We start from the raw sequence: 19,830 nt of genomic DNA, 5'->3' as shown, positions 1-19,830 counted from the left end.
AGAAAAGAAAATATGGGGAAGTTACCCTTATTCCTAACCTTTGCTGCTGACTCCCCATCTAACTCACTTTACCTATCCTGATGTTATCACTTCATTTACTGTCCTGGTTACCTTCTGCTGCATAACAAATTACCCCAAATTTAATGGTATAAAAGTGACCATCATTTATTATTGTCATCTCTCATGATTCTGGGACTTGAGAAGGATAAGCTAGGTGATTGTTGCTCAGTGCCTCTCATGAGGTTTTAGTCAGATCCTGTGGCTGGAGTTGGTTTGATAGCATCATCATTCACATGTCTGGTGATGGGTCATGACTGGCTGTCAGCTAGAACTTTATGGGGAGCCTTTGGCCAGAACATTCCTGCATAGTCTTTGCATGTAGACTGGATTTCCTCACAGCATGGAGGCCAGGTTCTAAATATGAACCAGAACCTCAGCAGAAGTTGAGTGACATTTCCAAACTTAGTCTCAGAAGTCAGCAATCTTATTTACTCTGCATTTTAATCTTGAGAAAGAAGTTTGTAAGACCAGCCCATATTTAAAAGGAAGAGAATTGGAGTCTACTTCTTGAGGGGAGGAATATAAAAAACCTGTGGATACATTTAAAACCATAAAATTTACTTTCCCTCTAGGTTCCAAACATTCTTCTTTCTAGTTGGCATATTCCTTCTTCACTTGTCTCTCAGTACACATAAGCTTCCTCTGTGTTTAGTTGTCTATTCTCAATACACATTTGTGTGCATGTTTTTGTTTATACCTGTGAGGTGAGCTCAGTATGTTGTAGAAGTAAGTGTGCTTTAGCATTTATGGTCATGTGTCCACTTATGATCATGTGAATGAACACATGATTATAAATGCTAGGGCACACATACTTTAATGAGCACAATACAACGTAATGAACATGCTTGTGCTGAATCTGAAAGGATGAGCAGCTGTGTAAGTGACATTGGTGGAAAGGGCAGCCGTGTAGTCACATTGGTGGAAGTATGCAGACATTCCACTGTGACCTCCTAGTGGTCACAGCAAACTCCTCTTTCCTTTTCCCTATAAGAGTTACTATCCTTCACAGAAAAAAAATTAAAATATTTCTTTCTAGTTTGGGAACTTTAATTTTTTAAAATTGTGGCTTACATTTTCTGAATCAAGAGGGATAGTTTCTCTTAAAATACTCTTTCTGGGGTAATGAAATGTTTTGAAAATAGTGGTGATGGTAGTACGACATTGAGAATATGACAAATGCCACAGAACCATGCACTTAACAATGATTAAAATAGCAAATTAAATCATAATTTAAAAACTTTTTAAAATGTAACAATCTGAGAAGACTTTTTTTAAATAATAATGTTATAGACCAAAACCATTGAATTATATACTTTAAATGGGAAAGTTGTATGTTATGTGAATTATATCTTGATAAAGTTGTTTAAAAATGTTTATGGTAAAGACCTTTCACTTTCCACAATTATAGAGAATTATAGAGGGCTTTTACTTTCCACAATTATATACAGGCTTAACATAAAAAAGAATGAAGTCATGTCTTTTGTAGCAACATGGATGAGACTGGAGGCCATTATTCTAAAGGAATTAACATGGGAGCAGAAAACCAAATACTGCATGCCCTCACTTGTAAGTGGGAGCTAAACACTGGGTACACATGGACACAAAGAGGAACACAATAGACACCAGAGACTACTAGAGCGGAGAGAGAGGAAAAAACTCTTTGGATGGGTGTAGAATTAAAACAGGATGCTATGAATTGTGATCGTGTGATCCATCCCCCATTTGCTATGCCAAGAAGCTGAAGAGCTTTAACTGAGTCTCGCTGAAGGTAGGAGGTTGAATTGGACAACTTTTTTTAAATTTTTAAAATTTTTTAAAATTGTTATTTATTTAATCCTTTGAGCCCAACCTGAAATGAAAACAAATCATAACCAAAATTGGTAGTTTGACTGAAAAACTACCAGTTGGGTACTATGCTCACTATCTGGGTGGTGGGATCATTCACACCCCAAACTTCGGTGTCACACAATAGACCCATGTAACAAACCTGCATATATACCCCCTAAATTAAAAATGAAAGTTGAAATTATAAAAATAAATAAATACGAAGGGGCTTGAGTCATACTCTATTCAATATTAAAAGAAACAAAATTGGCTGGGCATGGTGGCTCACGCCTATAATCCCAGCACTTTGGGAGGCCGAGGTGGGTGGATCACCTGAGGTCAGGAGTTCAAGACCAGCCTCGCCAACAAGGAGAAACTTTGTCTCTACTAAAAACACAAAAATGAGCCAGGTGTGATGGCGCATGCCTGTAATCCCAGCTACTCAGGAGTCTGAGGCAGGAGAATCACTTGAATCCGGGAGGCGAAGGTTGCAGTGAGCCAAGATTGCGCCACTGCACTCCAGCCTGGGTGACAGAGCAAGACTCTGTCTAAAAAAAAAAAAAAAGAAAGAAAGAAAGAGAGAGAGCGAGACAAAAGAAAGAAAGAAAGAAAAAGAAAGAAAGAGAAAGAAAGAAAGAAAGAAAGAAAGAAAGAAGGAAAGAAAAAGAAAAGAAACAAAATAATTATATATGTATATATTTCAGACCAATATGCTTGAAAACAATGATATGGGGTTTTCTGGTTCTATAATGTGTACTTTATTGGCCCATCCTTAAGTACTTCATGTTACCTTTTAGCCTCCAGAGATGTGTTAGGTCTTTTGTGTTTTTGTTTGTTTGTGCTGTGAACAATTATCAGAAGCTCTCTAAGCCTGAATAATGGTTGCACTACGTCTATGCTCACACGAAATGACATACCCAAAGGACAGGGAACTGTTCTTAACTTAAACACAAGAAATCTATGTCAGGCAGTGAATAGTTACAGGTGACTTAAACAGAAATTATTTTCAATTCTGTATATAACCTTTTTCTCTGTTTCATTTCTAATAACTTCCATCATTAAAATTCTTGGCTCCCAAGTGAAAATGTGGGAGTGGAATCCATATATGGAAATATATATGTGGAACAAAAAGTAAAAAAATGAAAACATGTGGGTGTGGAACTTCTTTGATTATAATTTGTTTTCATTTCAGGTTGGGCTCAAAGGATTAAAAAAAAAAAGTTGCCCCATCCAACCTCCTACCTTCAGCGAGGCTCAGTAAAAACTTTTCAGCTTCCTGGCAAAGCAAATGGGTGATGGATCACACAATCATAATTCACAGTGTCCTGTTTTAATTCTACCCTCATCTAGTTCATCCCATCCCATTTTATCAAGTTCTTATTTGGTTTCTCCTTCAGCTAAAGTTCAGCTTGCTAGTGTGTAGAAAAAAATTTCACTGGTTTGATTAATCAAAGTAGGCCTTTTCTGTACCTATTGATGTCTGTGCAGAACATATAGAAAACATGTCAGAGATCTGAGCTCCAGATTCTAGATTATATAGTTAGGAATATGAAACAGCCCTAAATTTGTTCTCTAGACAGTAAACAATTAAATCAATGAAACATCTAAAAAAAAACCTCTCCAGATGATGTAAGCTGGCAACAACTATTCAAAAAAGAACTTTTTAATTAGATAACCAAAAAGTACATGTTATCTAAACTATATGTCCCATTTTACTATTTTTGGAACATATTAGTTACATCATATTTAGTTTTATCTCCTTTAATGATGAACTTAATAGGACATCAAGGCCTTTTTTCTAGGATTGTGTAAAATAAAATACAGTGTGTTCCCCAAGACCCAGGAGGGCAGGTACCATAGACTGCTATACATTTTCCACAGCACTGTTGATTTTATCACTAATAATTCCATGTTAGGGAACCACAGATCAGGGATAAATAATCATTGGGTTTGGGAAAATCAGATTTTCCTATCTCCAAAGTCACAGTTGATAATGATACCTCCAATTTGCATTAGTCCCAGTTGATGCTACCTCAAATTGCATTAGTAAACAATACACTCAGCCTGCATACTTTGCAGGTAAGGTACATACTATACACATGAGATAACTATGCCTTTTCCTTTTCAGAACAATTATGTTGTGTTTGCCTCTCTTCTGTGTAATAAAAGGCACGCCCTGATGAATTCCCCAAAATAAAGGTAATGACATTTTCACCTATAAGAAACAAAACTACCAGAAATTCCACAAATCAAAACTCTCTTGATGAAATTTAAAGAAAAACATGGGCAGTACACTACATTTGCAATAGAATAAGATCAAGAAATTAAAGTTTCAAAGTGTCTTCTTCTTTCTTAGTATCTCCCACGGAATGTTTTCTAGTATTACAGAACCTGGGAAAGGATTCTCTGCCTTATCAAGCCTACTTTCTTTCATTACAAATATTTGACATCCTCTCTACTATTCTGAAATCAAATTCATAGATAATATAATCAACCAGTACGTACAATTTCAAAGAATCAATATAACATCATGCCATGTAAAGGAGAAATAGGGATGTAATTTATCATACAATAATGTATAGTTCACATGTAAATGCTTAAGAACTGCGCTAGAATACAAAATGAAGTGGTCGTATGTTTGTATCTATTAGAAATACTTTGAATGAAAGAGCTACAAAAGCCTGCTGATTGAGGTGTATTGGCTACTCAAATTCTATTATGATGACAGTTTTGGTAATGGGATTTTCTGTTATATGACAATTCTTTTAAAGTTCTGAACAAATTAAAATGCAATCTTCTCTAGGTCATACAATATTTATATTCCATTACATTATATTCAGTACATATGTTCAGACAAAAAATTACTTTGTGTTTACATGTATAAAGGAGTTATGTTTTAGACTCAGTATATTAAAAGGGGTTTGTGATCCACAAAAATATCTGATATGATATTTCAAAATCCTGAAAAAGTTAAGACAATTTTTCAACATGCTGTTTTTCCTTTTCAATGCTGGACGGCTGACAACCCAGAGTCTCCCGGTAAATGGCTCTTTCCCCCAAATCTGTGACAATAAAAAATGCCTTCGTAAATTTTCAAAACACCTTTTGGGAAGAAGCACACCCACCATTAGAACAATGTTCTAGGTTTTCCAAAGGTGCTGTTCCAGTGCCTGAAGCCATCCCTGTACTGCCCTGGTCTCTCATGTGGCAGGCCCTCCTCACTCTGCTCATGGCCAGTGTCATTACTCTCAGGCTTGAATTCTTTACAGCATGGTCAGATGCACCGTGCTAGCTGGTTCATCTGGTGCCTTTTCACATAGCCCCAATATTTCTAGATGTTACCCCCTACCCATTAGGGTGCCACCTATGGCACCTATCAACGAGAAAATCCAGAGGAATTCCTCCTGATTTGGAACCATCATTCTTTCTGAAGCTCTTGCGGCTTCCATAGCTCCTACAGGTCTCTTCGTGGTCTTATAAACCTTGATTTTGAAGTTACCTTACCCATGCACTCTTCTATTTTCTGATACACAGACAGACCCTGAGCAACAAGATTATTTTGTTCCCTCACTGATGATTTGCTTCTTCTCTTTCTGAGATCACATCCTCAAAAATAAAAAATAAAAAATAAAAAAAAAGACTTCATTCTAACTCTGATGGTCTCTCTGTGTCTTAATAAGATTGGATTTGTTTTCCCAAGGAGACAAACCTATGCCCACTCAGGGACAGTCTAGGGATTCAATGGCCCTCCTCTAGTTAACTTTTGTTAAATACTGCATTGAATAATTGAATCTAGGATGCTGGTGACCGGTACTGGCCAGCAGTTTCCCTCAGACACACCATTCCAGGAATAGTGTCCTCAGCCTGCTTTCATTCACTGTGGTCAGCACAGAGAGGAGGCTTTGTAGGCCACAAACAAAATTTCACAGCTCCTCATGTTTTGAGTGTTCCATGCTTTTATTTTCTTCCCTTCCTACCTGACATATAAAAATAAGAAGTTGAGGTAAACTGGAAAAAAAAAGCCACACTGCTCTCTACTTTGCCTCAGCCTGGGACAAATTCTTCCCCAAAAGAAAAATCTGGTTGTAATGACATAAGAAGAGGAGAGGAAAAATTAACCATCTTCAACTGTGCTGAAGGTTATCCTGAGACAACTTCAAGACCATTACCCTGACTTACCGAGATCAGTTCTGGAAAGGTAGCTTGGTCAAAAAACTTCTGCTATGTATTTTTAGTGGAATTATTTTTTTTGTGACTTTGGCAAGAGAAAATCCCCTGTTCTACAAACTTATCATTTTTCCATATATGCCTTTTAATTATTTTCCTGTTTCTCTGCACTTCCCCTCCCCTCAACACACACACATACACCTTTGTGGGTAAAGATAATAATGACAACTAACATTGCACGCTGCCTTTGTCCTGCGATTTGGGTCTGTGAACATTTGTCATTATTTAGTTGCTGCCTGCTGGCATGAGCAAGTGTATTTCTTAATCTGTTTCACACGATTACTGCCCAAAGAGAGATCACTCTGTTTTTTCCTTAATTTTGCTAAAGAGGCCTGTGCTTTTCAGGGTGGAGCTTAGAAAGAAAAGCAGCAGGAAAGCAAAATGCACTTAATGAAAACGCAGCCCACAGCTCAGAGTTTCACACATCAGGATCCCCCGCAGCTCTGCCGCGCCTGCTTTCCAGAGGTATGGAACCTTCCCGCCAATGTTGTAGGCACAAGTTCACAGCACATTAAAAAATGAGACATTCTTATTACACGGCATCCTCAATTGAGTTATCAGGAGATGGAGAATAAAAAGATTCCAGTTCATCCTTTCCTTTTAAAGCCAGGGCATCCATTATGGAAATTACATCTTTCCCAGCTATGTTGTTCAGAGGTATAGAAATGGTGATGACAATAGTAATTATAATTATTATTTGTAAAAGGCCTAGTATGTGCCATGCATAATACTTAACTCTTCATTTGTATTAATTTTATTTCTGACCTCAACTCTGTCAGGCAAGCAGAATTAAGTAAGGAAAGAAAGCGTTTTGTGGAGGAGAGTGTCTCTGCTGCCTTTCAATTATATCCTACTTATAACAAATTAGGATTTTAGTACACCCTTATTGTTAAACCTTAGCCTGATAACATCTAAAATTCTATATTTTAAATTTTATATGAGTTTTAGAGCCAACTTTGACTTATACTCAGTTGTTTTTAAGGAATTGAATATAAATCTTGACATAAAATTTCAACATTTTGACTTAGTTGATTAAATATTTCATTTGGTCAAAATTGTTGGACTACATCTATTAACATGACCTAAGTGGAAGTCCAGGAAATAAAATAATTGTTTCGTTTCTTACATAAAATTTCACAATGACTTTCTGATGGTAAAGAGTAATGTGGCTTAGCCTAAAAATTTCACTGCAAATATTTTCTTTTGAAATTACAGTCTCCTTTAATATAATATTGGAAGGGTTTTTACTCTATACTTTTGTTTTGTTTTAAATATTTTCATCCATTTCAAATTATACAAATAATAAATATAAAAAATTCAGGCTATATAAGAAAATCTGCTTAAAATTAAACTCACAAATGTTAATCAAGGACAGTAATAATACCGAAGCCACAATAAGGGAGTTAAAATATAAAATGAAATTGAATTATGCAATGTATTCTCTAGTCTCTTAAAAGCTCATTTACCATTCAAATATTTAATTTTATGATATTTTATAGTTTTCATATGTCATATCCTTTAGAGTTATCATTTGGTCTTTTTGTAGGTGTTATGTGAAAACCATGATTTATTTCCACTACTAAAAATTTTAGAAAAATTTAAGCTAAATCGACAATCATGGTAGAATGTTAGAGTAATCCTTCGGGTTACAACTTCCAGAGTTTAGAATAAGGAGAATAGCTTTTCTGGGCTGCTCTGCTATCCAGAACATTATCAAGACCAGTCATAGCAGAGGATTTTTGTCTATCACTTCTGCCCCACCCAGATCATGTAGACAAAGATGGAGGTAACTGAGAACAAGAAATCAAAGTCTTCATCTCAGTGTTATAATTTGTTATATTAAATTCTGGAATTTATTAATGCCTCAATAATTGATTATCTCTACACAGCCTTCAATGCTAAAAAGCATCACCGATTTGGAATCAGTTTGTCTTACTCTAGGATCTCCCAAGAGTAGAGGAAGCACAAGCACAGGCAGCTTCAGAAAGTGATACTAGGCCACAGGGCAAAGGTAGTGAAGCAGATATGAGACAGAAGCAGGGAAAGCCAATCAAGAATGCATGACTACATCGCCACCGCTACAGGCCACTGGTGTACTCTGGATCTTCTGAGGAGCATTATGAAGTGCATCTCTAAACCATCCATATAGGAGACAAAAAGAAGCATCATCGTCACAGGCTTCAGTCTCCCATTAATCAAGATGCCCTCATGGACATCAATACTCCCATACTTCCATATGTCACATGTGAATAAATATTGGCTGTTTTTTTGTTAGTTTTATTTATTTATCTATTTATTTATTTCCAACATGTTCTATGAGATAGTTTCAAAGAAGCTCAAGGACAGTGATATGGTTTGGCTTTGTCCCACCCAAATCTCATCTTGAATTGTAGCTCCCATAATCCCCACGTGACGTGGGAGGGACCCGGTAGGAAGTAATTGAATCATGGGAGTGGGTTTTTCCAGTGCTGTTCTAATGATAGTGAATAAGCCTCACGAGATCTGATGGTTTTATAAAGGGCAGTTCCCCTGCACATGCTCTCTTGCCTGCCATCATGTAAGATGTGACTTTGTTCTTCCTTCAACTTTTGCCATGATTTTGAGGCCTCCCCAGTCATATGGAACTGTGAGCCCATTAAACCTCTTTTTGTTTATAAATTACCCAGTCTCAAGTATGGCTTTATTAGCAGCCTAAGAACAGTCTAATACATAAAGTAGGCAGGAAGTATGACTACACAAGCCTAGAGGGATGTCCTCTCAGGTTGCCCCTGTTAGAATCTGATTGAAGCTTGTACATAAATAATTCCCACTACAACGGCTGAAGTTGGGGCTAAGAAAATTTGGAATAATACAAAAGAGGAGTCCAACACAATTTTTCAATGACCCAATTTCTTTCTTGCCTTTGGCAATTTGCTAGCATTCATGTTATAGTACTTGCACAATTTATGTAGTAAGCTATGGCAAATAATCAAGCCCAATTGTGTCTAAAGGCAGATTATTAATATACATCTCATATAATAATATAATTTGATACCATATGAAAGAGAAGTGTGTACGCCAAAGTATGAGAGCTGAGACATGGTTTGATGCTCTTGTCAAAGATAATGTCCCATCTGCATATTTCATACTTTACAGACATTATTTAGCTTATAATATTCTGCTTAAAATAAGAAAACATCAATTAAACCCATTTTATTCTCATAAAGCTTGTTTTTCTCCTAAACATGAGGTTTTTCTTAAAGAGAATGAGAGAGCAAAAGAGAAAGAAGGAGAGTTTGCATATATATAAGAAAGAGAAAATTGAGAGAGAAAGAGAGAGATAAACTGGAGAGACTGATTACAAGTTCTTGCTTTGAACTTTTTCTTGAAAAAAAAGTTAAACGTGAAATAGTGCTCTGAAACACTTTACAGCCCATTCAGTTTCTTTTGGAAAATAATACTTGGGTTGAAATGAACACTTTAGAAGATATTTTATTTCTTGGCATTTAAAATCAATATTTTTCTCCCTGTCATGAATATTTTTTGGAGAAGTCTTGGCAGCTATTTTTATTCATTGCAATTGTGGGTCTACCATAGGTGAAGATGGAACACCTTTCTCTCATTATTAAGAGCTTAGTAGCCCTGAGCTAAAGGCTGTGATTCTTCATGTCACCACTGTGGTGGCAAATAAGAATTCCCATTTAGTTTCTAGTAACCTCATTTATCAAGAAGACTGTATTTCAAGCTTATATAGATTTAAGGCAAATAAAAACCTCTATGGTCATATATTGCATTCATCCATTAGAGAAAAGTTAAACTAATAGGATATTAATTTTGCAGACATACTAACCTATTCAAATTTTATTTTAAAAAGATGTGAAAGTGAATTTAATTTTTAAATTGGTTCTTCATTAGTGATACTTTAAATGTGCTGCTAAAATGAAAGAGCACTTACATGAACCACATTCCAAACTAGGGAGATTTCAAATTCCTTAAACTTTGCTGTGAACACGAAAGTAAAAATACGTTAGCAGAATGTCCTGCATGGCCGTTTAAAAGGTATTTTTAAGTAAAAGCTTTGAAATTGTTCTCAAGTCTTTATGCTTTCAATTTTAGCCTGAGTTGATCAAGAATAATAATAAAAAAAGGTCATGCTTTGAGAAACTTTAAATCTGTCTCAATCTCAAAATGACAAGCCTTTCAAGCCAAATGACTAAACCCCTCACAGGGGGAGACGAGCACACTGGGTCCTTCTGTGCCTCAAATAAACTTCAGGCTTCTTACTAATGCAGCCATGTGCTACTCACTTGTCTAGCTTTATAAACCTTTTTTCTGAGTTGAGATCATTTTAATTTTTTTTTTCCTTTCACCTTGCCTATGACCTAAAAATACTGGACATTAGCTTAACATTTAGTATTTGATGCAATTAAAAATTCAGCAAAACTATGAACTAGTAATAATGCAACAAGCCAAGTTACCATATATTTTCATGACTACTCTCACCAAACCCCCTTTGACCTCCTTTCACTGCCAGCAGATGCTGCCTTTCTGAAGATCATAAAAACACGGAGGCAAACCCTCAGAAACATCTTTTATTTACACCATTTCAACATACAAAGACTTTGTATTTTCTTGGAACCTATCAGGTTTATTAGTTTATATTATCTAAATTTCTGTCAATATCAAACTGATTTTTCTACTTTCCTCATCAATATTTTTTCATTATTTCATTAAACAATTAATCTAAATTATGTCTCCAACATGTGTATATTTGCATGCAATATGCAATGGGAAAACAGTAAAAAATTCAAAATATTTTAATAACTTCTCTAGTATGTTTCTTCATTGGGGTCCACTATTTAAAAATAGTATTTTATTGCCCATATATCTGAAAACATTTGAAAATATTTTACTCTAATACTATATTGGAATATATGAACATTTTAAAGTAAGATCTTTTATCATTTTGTCTAACTACAGATTACTTTTCCACAGAATCAAAAGTCTAGAACCAATGTTTCAGGCTCAAATTTGTAGCTTAAAATCCATTTCATCTTGCAATCTAGCTGTGAATCATTACAAGTGCAACATTCTCCATCACGGAAAGAATTCCTATGGTTGACTCTGAAACTTCAGTATACATGAAAGCACCTAGATCTTGCTTTTGGAGTAAGGACAGGGCAGGGAATCACCATTTTTACTAGCCAACTGGGAATTCAACATTTGGTAAACCTATGATTTTTTATTATGTTTAAATTGCACTCTACCTTCTTTGAATAAATAATTCTATTATGCCATTGATTTAGAAGTAACAAAAATGGACCTCAAGAAAATATTATAATTAGCTAGAATCTGGAATTTGATGTGGTTCCACAAAACAGTATCTTATTCACAGACTCTTCTTCTTTTCAGGGGAGGCATGTATTAGAGTAAAATATATTAGTAATTTTTTTGGTTTGTTGTTGGTTTGAGACAGGGTCTCTTTCCCATAGCCCAGGCTGGAGTGCAGTGGCACAATCATGGCTCACTGCAACCCTGACTTCCCGGGCTCAGGTGATTCTTCCACTTTGGCCATTCGAGTAGCTGGGACTACAGGCATGCACTGCCACACCTGGCTACATTTTTGTATTTTTTGTAGAGTGGGGGTTTTCCATGTTGCCCTGTCTGGTCCTGATCTCCTGGGCTCAAGCGATCTGCCCGCCTCAGCCTCCCAAGGTGATCAGATTACAGGCTTTTGGGATTACAGGCGTGAGTCACTGCACCCAGCTTTATTTGTAATTTTCATATTTTATCTTTAACCATTGATCGTTATACTTCATAACTTAAGTCTAATAACAAAGCTAATATGAATTAGGACTACATTGGTAAAAGTGTAGCATCCAGTATCAGAGAGATGATAATTCCTTTCTTGCTGCAAACATCAGGCTTCATCTTGTATATTCCTTTCAGTTGTCAACACTATGCTTTAAGAACTGGGACAAGTATCAAGCATTCAGAGGAAAGCACCAGTGAAGCTGGAGGAACATCAGCAGAGACATAGCTAGTAATATTGGTCCTGGGATAAGCAACCCTAATTGTGTCCTCAAAGTGATTTACCATTGACAATGTGGCTTAAAGATGGATATGAAAAATCCATGCCAGTCTGGGAGTTTGATAAGTTAACTATACTTAGTAGACAGTTACTAAGCTCTTACAACTGTTGCTTTGAATTTGGTTCTCTGAATGTTGGCGTTCTGGGGCAAAGTCTTTTCGAAAATGAGGAATGTCTGAGGTAATTTGGGCTTTGCGAGGAAAGGAACAGGAGAACAGGCTTGATGGAATTCATTTATTCAACATTTTATCAGTCAGAGCTCTCAATTACTAACAACAAATCCTCTCTGGCTAGCTTAAGCAGAAAAGAACCTGTGAAAGCACATTTGGCAACTCACAGAATCTTGCCAGAGCAAGAGAACAAGGTTGGGTGTTGCCAATGACCCTGAATTCGGCTTCTGTACTGTATTCTGCTCTCATGACTATTGGCTACAGCCCAATATATACATATGTGTGTATGCGTATGTGTGTGTGTGTATCTTCAACAGTAAATGTCATCTTGTAAAACATTGTGACTCATTTGGCTGATCAGGCAATACAATGAATGACTAGGCCTTAACTTTAATAATAATAGATTATGATTTTTTAGAACTATGTGCCAGTTAATGTTCTAAGTGTCTTATATGTATCCACTGACATGTTTTAGTCCTTGCAAAAAGCTCAATAAATTTTACTATTATTATCCCACTTTTAGAGATGAGGACAAAAAGATAGAGGTGGATTAGATAATTTCCCTCTGAGAGCTAGCAGTTGATAATGCCAGGATCTGAACAAAATATAAGTTGGACTCTCAAATATGGTCTTCTTTTTCCCAGTGTGCTCTATTTTCTTTAACCAAGTAATTAACTAATTAACTGACTCGATCTTCCTCAAAGCTACATGTGGCACTTCAATAAGTCATCAATGAGTTGCAGGTGATCCTGAGATTGATTGCCTGAGGCCTGGACAGCTGTGCATCTTCAGAAAGGGACAGGGAGCTTTGTACTAACTCACAAGGGAGTATGTTCTAAACAGACTAAACAGAGAAATCATTCTACATTTGTAACCATGGTAAAATCATCAACACACATTGACATTATCTTTGAATTATCATGAGATTGTATAACAAAGGTGTATAGACACTTATACAAGTGCTGTAATTTGTGAAATACATCCCTTTTACTTCCTCAAAGTTTAGTATACTCTGATACACAGAGTCTCGTGTGAGTGGTGATTCCTTATGGACATCAAGAAAAGGGGTGAGTTACAGTGCATGGCGCACAACCCACCCATAAAGAACAAGCTTTGGAAATAGTGTAACTCAGCAAAGACAGCTTCTGTATTAGGCTGTTCTTGCATTGCTATAAACAAACACTTGAGACTGCGTAATTTACAAGAAAAGAGGCTTAATTGGCTTATGATTCTGCAGGCTTTTTAGAACGTTTGGTGCTGACATCTGCTCAGGTCCTCGGGAGGCCTCAGAAAGCTTACAATCACTGTGGAAGGCAAAGGGGTAGCAGGCAGGTCACATGGCGAAAGCAGGGACAAGACAGTGGGGGAGGTGCTACATAAATAACCAGATCTCATGAGAACGCACTATTACAAGGACAGTACCAAGAGGGACGGTGCTAAATCACTTATGTGAAATCCACGCCCATGATCCAGTCACCTCCCACCAGGCCCCACCTCCAACAATGGGGATTACATTTCAACATGAGATCTGAGTGAGGACATACATCCAAATTATATCAGTTTCTATCCACAGAGAAAGCTGAAAAGCTGGAAACTACAGTCTGCACCCCATCTCACACACTCTGTCCAAATCCCTGGCGAGTTCGGGAGGTATGCAAGATCTTCTCTTGTTCTAAAATATAGTTGTCAAAGGACAGAGTACTTTAATTGACTTCCAAGTTAAACCTTTAATTAAACGTATTCTAAAATGAGATGAGGGGGCCTCAAGAGGTACAGTGCTTCCAGTTTCTGAAAGAAAATTCAACAGATACTCAATGTGATCAGAACTTTATTCATCTCATTTCTAATATTTTGAAATCCTATGAATAATAAGTAAAATATTTGTGTTCTTTGGTGTCATTTGAAACAAACATGAACATTGTTTTATACCTATGAGGAAGATTCAAATTCTAGGAGGAATTCATGATAATAACATTTCATTTGGGAAAACTATATACAGTAAAAAGCGTTTGTTGGCCGGGCACGGTGGCTCACGCCTATAATCCCAGCATTTTGGGAGGCCGAGGGGGGGTGAGATCACGAGGTCAGGAGATCGAGACCATCCTGGCTAACACGGTGAAACCCTGTCTCTACTAAAAATACAAAAAAATTAGCCAGGCGTGGTGGCGGGCGCCTGTAGTCCCAGCTACTCGGGAGGCTGAGGCAGGAGAATGGCGTGAACCCGGGAGGCGGAGCTTGCAGTGAGCCGAGATCGCGCCACTGCACTCCAGCCTGGGTGACAGAGCAAGACTCCATCTTAAAAAAAAAAAAAAAAGCGTTTGTTTGACAGCCATCAGAAGCTAGGGAAAAGATTTTCCTCATTAATGTTCATGAACCTTAGTTTCCAGTGATGGCATAGTAAAGTAACATAATCATAATGCTTTGCATTACCTCTCTTAATTTAAAAAAAAGCAAAATCTATAATTATTTCAACTCCAGTTTAGACCATAAACAATGAACAGTTCTTACAGAAAAAGGTCCTCTGTGTGATAAAAATAAACTGTTCAAATTTAGAAACAAAGCTGTAAATGTGAGGGTGAATCAATGTTCCTAAAAACCTAAGTACTTGAACACTCACAAGTTGGAAGTGAAGAAAATAAAGAAGGGAAAGTAAAGCACTTTTTCATTATTGTTTAATCAAAGTGAATTTTTAAGAGTCATGACACTACCTTTGAGAAACTGCCCTATAGATACCAACCTAAAAAAATGCAGGCAGAAAGAATCAGGTTTCTAATTTGAGACATAAAAGTTATCACATGCAAAACACAACAATTCAAACCATGAGGTCAGTTGGGATTTTTTTAATGATTATGTAGAGTCATATGTCATTAAGGCAAAACTGAAAATGTAAATGGGAGACTGTGAAATATTTAGTAGATTTAAAAATATATATCCTTTTTTTGTTTCTACCAATGTGGTGGATTAGATGTCTTAGAAAATCTCCTATATAAAAAAAAAAAAACACTTTAAAATAAAGGAGACCAAAAAACTCATAATTCTTGTAGGTATATATCTGAGATTAAACACAATAAGAAAAATCCCTAGAATCCAAAAATGAAGAAAGATGGAACCAAAGTAGCAGCATTATGTTGATGTTTAGGATTGATGGAGTCATGAGGCCAAGAAGAAAGTTGGGAGTTGGAATTGAGAAACACTTCATATGAAACTAAGACTTTCAAAAGCCTATGCTATGCGTGAAAGAGTGAGTCTTGAAAAATAGTCTAATTACAAGCCCAGGGAATTAAGAAAATTTACCCGTGTTGGGGGTCAGAGTGTGGGTTGGGATAAAGAATTCTTCGTAATCACCATTTTACCAACCTGTGGTTTCGGGTTTAACTATAAACCATAGATAATATCAAAGAAACTCGAGGTCAACACATTTTATTAGAGTTGGCCTGGACTGTTTACCATAGACACCAGCCAAAAGCAAATATGTATTCTCTCTGAATATACTTTCATCTCAAGGCTTTCAGTGTTGCCACAGAAAGTACATACCAAAGTTGTAAACTATACAATAAAACGAGTCAACATAGTGAATCAGGAAGAGCAACAAACAGCAAAAAGAGACATCTCCCAAATAAAAGGTTGAAAACAAAATATAAACTATCTATTTGTATTTGGAAAATGATAACATATAAATATGTTCTCTATTTAAAATGCTCAAGGAAATTAAAATTGTGTAGGAAATAAGAAAAAAAGTACTATCAAAATAAGAGGGAGAGCTCGCTATAATATCTAACAAAAAAGAAAATAACAGATATTAAAAACAACGTAAAATAAAATAGCAAATTAAATACACAGTTGAAGATACAAATTTGTATCTGAGCACAAAAAGAGGTGGAAAATATAAAAGATATGTTAAAGATATTAGGCATAGGATGACAATGACAAATATTAAATTAGATTCCCAGAAAGAATGAATATACAAAATGGGGCAGGAATATTCAAAGAGATAGATAATGTCTGAAATAACAGATTTTTCAAACTTAATGGAAGATAAAACTCTACTTCAAGAATAATAAATCTCAAGCAGAATTGTATATATGTATGCATGTGCATGTATTTGTGCATAGGTACATGTATCTCCATACCAGACATAATCTAGAGAAACTGCAAAATATCACGGATAAAGGCAGATATTAAAATGTCAGAGATTAAAAAGAAAGAAGGAAACCTTGGCCTACAAAAAAAGCAATTGGACCAACAGCAAGAACAAGGGTGGAAATAAAAAATATGTACAATGAGTGTTCAAAATGCTGAGAGAAAGTAATGTCAACATAGGATTGTATACTCAGCTAAACTAGTATCAAAGAATAAAGCAAAAATAAATAAATTTCAACACAACTTGAGAGAGCTTATTACTAGTGAATAGTCAGTAGAGGACTTCTGAAAAATGTATTTGAGGAAAAAAAGGATGGAAGAGCTGAGATGAAAAAAGAAATGTTAAATAGAAAAATTGGTAACTATGTGGGCAAATCTAAAAATATATCAGTATTACAACATCTAATTTCAGAAGCTGAAAAAATAGGTGTTACCAAAACACTAGAAAAATAGCAAGTATAAAAATAGGAGGTAATAGTGTTAAATCATTATAATATCCTTGGATTATTTTGAGAAAGATGATAAACATATTAATGTTAATTTCTAAATGTGTATGTGTTAAAATTTTAAAGATTTTCTGTAAAAGGTGAGAAAGCAAGTATGATAGTTGAGGAGATATAATAGGATAATAGTAATAATTAAGAATCCAAAAGGAGAACTGAAAAACTAACATAGAAAATGCAAAACAGATACCACAAAATAGTATGAATAAAAAAATACAAATATACCAGTAATGACATGAAATGTAAATAGACTACCCTTGCCAATTAAAGCAAAGGATGGAAAATTTCTGCTGTGTGTTATTTACAGGAAACATACTTGAAATACAAAATGTGAAGTTTGAAGTAAAAGTATAAACCAATAAGGTTATTACAAGCAAGAAAAATTACAGCCCAGTCTTTCATAGGCAAGATGCAAAATCAATTTTAAAAGTATTATAGATCTAATTGTTACAGATAAAGAAATTAAAGATTGTAGATTTTTAATATACCAAAACACACTCATGACTTTGGGTTAGAAAAACATTTCTTAAGGAAGACTCAAGAAAGCACTAACACTAAAATAAATGACATATAAATTGCATTATATTACAGTTAAAAACCTGCTTATGAGGTAAGGTCATCAAGAGAATGAAAAAGTAAGCTTCAAATTAGAAGTTCTCTGTAATCCATAAATCCAAGAAAAGACTCTCCCACAAATTGAAGACAAAGAGATATCATCCAATTAAAAATGGTAAAAGATGGGAAAGCATGTACCACAGTGAATGTCCATACTTCCAATGGCCATAAGTGCTCAATATCATTAATTATTGGAGAAATGGCCATTTAAATAACAGAACTATATGTATGATCGATCACCTACTAGTATGGGTTAAAATTTTAAAAACTGAAAAGTATTAGGAAGATGTGGAGTCACAGGGACAATCATATACTGCTAATGTGAGAGTAAATTGTCACAAACATTTAGAAAATCTCTCAGTATCCACCGACCATACACATATCCTGTCACCTAGCAGCTCCATTTGTAGGTAGAAACCCAAGAGTAATGGATTTATACGTACGCCAAAGCATGTACTGAATATGATCACAGAAGCATTATTCAAAATACCACAAAAGTAGAAACAACCCAAGTATGTATCAACAATAGAACTGACAAATGTGGTCTTTTCATACAATGAATACTACATAGTACTGAAAATAACAACATGAATCAATCCCATAGACATTATACTGAGTTAAAGAAAAATATAAAAGTGTATATACTGTATTACTCCAATAATATGATGTTCAAAACAATTAAAATTAATTAATACCGACAAAAGTAGGAATAAAGATTGTGTTTGGTCTTGACTAGGAGGAGTAATGACTAGGAAGAGATAAGAAGCATCCAAGATGCTGATGTGACTCTATTTATTGATCTGGTTAATTGTTATCAAGGTAAGTTCACTTGTAAAAATCAATCAAGCTATAAATTTGTGATTTGTGCATTTAAAATATATTTAAAATACAATTTCATTTGTTGGTTGGTTTTTAAAGAAACTTTAGCTTTTAATTTTATGGGTACATAGTAGGTATATAGATTTATGGGGTGCATGAGACATTTTGATACAGGCATACCATGTGTAATAATCACATCAGGTAAATGGAGTACTCATCACTTCAAGAATTTATCATTTCTTTGTATTATAAACATTCCAATTGTAATCTTTTAGTTATTTTTAAATGTACAAGAAGTTATTGTTAACTGTAGTTACCTTAATATCTCTTGTCTTCTATCGTTTGATTTCCTGCTGGTGCCTCCCATTGGCTGAACCCACTGGGAAACCAGGGAGAAGGGAGCCAAATTGATGGAGTCAGTAAATGTTCAGCCTGCCAGGGCACTAAGCAGGGCCACTGAGAAGTGGCCAGAAAAGACCACACGAATGAGTACATTACAACTAAAATAAGTATACAATGGTATATCATACACCATTACAAATTAGAGCTAGAATGCTAATTCATGAATCATGCAAAATAAACAGACAAAATAATGAGCACAAAAGAGAACTGCAAAAACAAAATACAGTGTAGTATAGATTTTCATAAATTCTTAAAATATAGAAAAATATTATTTATTGTTTGGGGAAGCATTTATGTAGTAGAGGGAATAAACAAATGCTTACAGATAATAAATATCAAATTTAGGGTAATTATTTTCTGGGGACGTTGATGTGGAATGTGATTACAAAGGACTTTAACTGTATTTGTAATGTGTTCTGTCTTAGGATACATAAGCGGTACATAGGCGTTTATTAAATTACTCTTTACATCTTTATGAATACCGAAAATATTTTACAATAAAAAGCAACAAGAAACAAACTACCACTCATAATTCAGCATTATATCATTATTAATATCTAATAAAAGTCATTAATTATATTAGTCAACTAATATATAACTAAAATATATTAGCTGACACTTTCATATCTATTTACTATAATAATTTTATATGGTATTACTATAATTAGAAACAAAAAATCTATTGCAATATATATAGATGTACATATACATGTATATATATTTTGTGGGGGAGGCTGAGGCAGGAGAATCACTTGAACCCAGGAGGTGGAGGTTGCAGTGAGCAGAGATGGTGCCACTGCACTCCCGGCTGGGTGGCAAAGTGAGATTGGGTCTCAAAAAAAATATAGATTACAGATATAGATATAGATATATACATGTATATATCTATATATATATACACACACTTATAGATATATCTATAGATCTACAGATATATACACTATATATATATATATTTTTTTTTTTGACTCCTTATTCAAATTTAATTGCCTGTGCTGAG

The 19,830-nt window shown here is 35.2% G+C and overlaps 1 non-coding gene across 1 annotated transcript, besides 1 other annotated feature; it reads right to left on the bottom strand.

Annotated features, from left to right (window-relative positions):
* Nucleotides 1-790: 790 nt before the first annotated feature.
* MIR4643 (microRNA 4643) lies at nt 791-868 on the bottom strand. The gene has a single exon (NR_039786.1). It is a non-coding gene; the product is annotated as a microRNA 4643 (primary transcript).
* Nucleotides 8,225-8,274: an enhancer, noted in NCBI's record as "active region_24837". NCBI's record gives its function as "activates an Ori minimal core promoter by ATAC-STARR-seq in GM12878 lymphoblastoid cells {active_cell/tissue: GM12878}" and the evidence as "EXISTENCE:reporter gene assay evidence [ECO:0000049][PMID:35858748]".

Source organism: Homo sapiens, chromosome 6 (assembly GCF_000001405.40).
Source record: "Homo sapiens chromosome 6, GRCh38.p14 Primary Assembly".
Taxonomy (NCBI): domain Eukaryota; kingdom Metazoa; phylum Chordata; class Mammalia; order Primates; family Hominidae; genus Homo; species Homo sapiens.
Note: the sequence above shows the minus strand (reverse complement) of the source record. Positions and strands in the feature narration are given on the sequence as shown.